Source organism: Homo sapiens, chromosome 12 (assembly GCF_000001405.40).
Source record: "Homo sapiens chromosome 12, GRCh38.p14 Primary Assembly".
Lineage (NCBI taxonomy): Eukaryota > Metazoa > Chordata > Mammalia > Primates > Hominidae > Homo > Homo sapiens.
This window is the reverse complement of record NC_000012.12, coordinates 97992772-97995794: the sequence shown is the minus strand read 5'-3', so window position 1 is coordinate 97995794 and position 3023 is coordinate 97992772. Positions and strand designations below refer to the sequence as shown.

Genomic DNA, 3023 nt, shown 5'->3' with positions numbered 1-3023 from the left:
GGTTGGCCTGACTTGTCAGTGATGATGTCATGCCTGCCTTGATGAACACTTAAATTCCCTTTTTCCAAGAGAGCAAAGTGGCCCACTCTCAGCAGGAATGAGTCACATGGGCTTTCTTTTTATGTAACTGCCTCTGAGAACCACCCAAAGCTGGAATTGATTTGCAAAACTTATTTCTGAAGACAATGAAAAATAGAGATTTTGTTATAACAAAATTCTGAAAACTTTTGCTTTGGGTCTTGCTCTGTTTCATAGACAAGAGCAGCAGGAGTGAGCTGGAGTTCAGTTCTTCCACCTGGCTCTCAGGGGAATGCTGAAATGAGATCTTGGTTGACATGAAATTTACAGAAAATAGCTTCTGAGCTGAGGACAGCTTGCTCTGCTTTTCTTTAGCTTAGGAGCTAACCATGGTCTTGGTTGAGGCTTGGGCTTCTGTAATTCCTTCTCTGGTATTTTGCATAGTGATTAAGTGTTTAGACTTTGGCAGCAGACAGACTCAGGAGTCATCTAGGCTCTGGCATTTATCAGTTGTGTGATATGAGTCAAAATGATATCCAGTAGCTTAATGTACCTGACATGTGCATGATAGATGGCATCTATTATCATTATTATTGTTATTCCTCTCTCATCATCTAGACCCTAGGTTCTCAGGAAAGAAATCTCAGAGGTATTTTCTACTTTGGGGCTGCTTTAGGCTATTTTTTTTCCTTTCTCTTTGAAAGATAAGATTTACTTCTCATTGGAAATCTGGCTGATGTGTTTTCCTGGCTAGAGAGAGCCTTTTCCTTAGGGCCAGGTGACAAAATGATTCATGAAAATGATGTTTACTGTCACCCCAGGATTAGCATAGAGAAACCCCTTGTGCATGCATACGTATGTGTCTTCATTCTCCTATGTGAACATACAGTGAGCAGTGGACTGCTTGTTTCTCTTCCAAGGAAACTGCCCACCCCATGTTGTTTCTAAGAAATGTTCTTTTCCTCACCCTAATAATGCGGTTTGGATGGAAATAGATATTTTTACTGATTCCACCAGCTAGGCCTCCACTGATTGGTCTAGGATGAGCAAGTGATCCATTTTTAGGCCAACTGGAGTACTTTCCATGCTTTTAGAACTTGGGATGGGAGAAAGTCAGAGGTAATGCCTGATGGCGTTGGTGGCCATGTTTTCTGTCAGGTGGAAGAAGACTAAGAGAATGCAACTTATGTGCAGAGAGAAGCAGAGATGAGAGAGAAAGAAAAAGGAGCCTGGCCCCTTCGGAGTATCTAGTTCCACTCTCCCTAAGGCCATGTCTCCTGAGACTTTCCTTACTTACATAGGTTAAGAGGTCCCAGTTTGTTTAAAGCTAGTTCAAATAGGAGTTGTCACTCGTTGCCTGTATTGTTATCTATCTCTGTGTAATAAATTAGTGGGTTAAGACAAAAATATACATTTATTATCTCTCAGTTTCTGTGGGTCAGGGATTCGAAGCTGCTTGGCTGGGTGGTTTTGACTTGGGATTTCTCATAATGTTCATTCAGATGTTTGCTGGAGCTACAGCCACTTAAAGGCTTGACTGGGGCTAGAAGATCTGCTTCCAAGGTAGCTTAGCCATGTGGTGATAAGCCTGTACTGACTCTTGGTAGGGGGTTTCAGTTCTTCACACAGAAACCTCTCCCCAGCCTGGCTTGTGCTCTCACGATATGGCGGATGGCTTTCCCTAAGTTAAGCGATCCAGGAGACCAAGGTGGAAGATGTAAATGTCTTTTATGACTTAACCTTGAAAATGACATACCATCACATCTTTAGTATTCTGTTGTTTACTAGGTCAATCTTGATTCCATATGGGAGGGGAATATACAAGGATATGAATACCAAGAGGGAAAGACTACCAGAGGCCCTGTTGGACGCTGGCTACAATGGAGCCAACAGAGTCCTGACCCATACACTATAGTGACAGATTTCTTATCTCAAGGTTGGATTCTATACCATGTATGTATTCTGATAACTATGATAATCAACATTTGTTCTCAAGCTAACTAACTGCCATTATTCACCACCTATCATCTTTTTGGAGATTAAATTCACATAACATTTTCTCTCTCTTTTTGCCACCTGCATAATATATAAGTGATTCATGAATAGAGGAGTTCCTTTTTTTTTCTAAATAGATTTTTCATTGGTCTAAGTTCTTTATTGGCTGTGTGTGTGCAGGGAGGTATGAGATGATGACACAAAGATTTTGAGAATACCTTACCAAGGTAGTTTCTTCCACTCTCCAAGTTCTAGCCTCTTCCCAGTTTGTAGATGGTATAGTTAGAACAAGAGGAATGTAATTAAAATATCTGACTTTTAGTCTGAATTTGCCACATATTAGCTGTGTGATTTTGGCCAAGTCACTTAACTTTGATGAGTACCTTTCTTCATGTCCAAAAAAGAGATCAACATTTTAATCTTAGAGTGAGGTTATGAGGACTGTGGCATAATGTTTTATAAACTGTAAGGTACTCTTTTTGGTTCAGAAAGGTACCATGGTATTGGCTTGGAATCAGAAACTAGCCTTGGATCTTAGCTTTGCCACCTGAGTGCCAAGTGCTCTTGCAGGTATTTATCCTTTTTTTGTTTTGTGTTTGTGTGTGTGTGTGTTTTTTTTCTTTTTTTTTGAGACGGAGTCTTGCTCTGTTGCCAGGCTAGAGTACAATAGCATGATCCCAGCTCATTGCAACCTCTGCCTCCCGAATTCAAGCGACTCTCCTGCCTCAGCCTCCCAAGTAGCCGGGATTACAGGCACGTGCCACCATGCCCAGCTAATTTTTTTTTGTATTTTTAGTAGAGACGGGGTTTTACCATGTTGGCCAGGATGGTCTCGATCTCTTGACCTTATGATCTGCCCGCCTCCACCTCCCAAAGTGCTGAGATTACAGGTGTAAGCCACCACACCTGGCCTATCCTTTTTGAGTTTCAATTTTCTCCATAACATTGGCTCAATAATAATTCCTACTTCATACAGATAGAGAGTTCAAATGAAATGGTCCCTGAATGAC

At 41.3% G+C, this 3023-nt stretch overlaps 1 non-coding gene across 1 annotated transcript; it reads left to right on the top strand.

The window, feature by feature from the left end:
* The first annotated feature begins 346 nt into the window (after nt 1-346).
* Nucleotides 347-412, top strand: MIR4303 (microRNA 4303). The gene has a single exon (NR_036189.1). It is a non-coding gene; the product is annotated as a microRNA 4303 (primary transcript).
* The last annotated feature ends 2611 nt before the right edge of the window (nt 413-3023 follow it).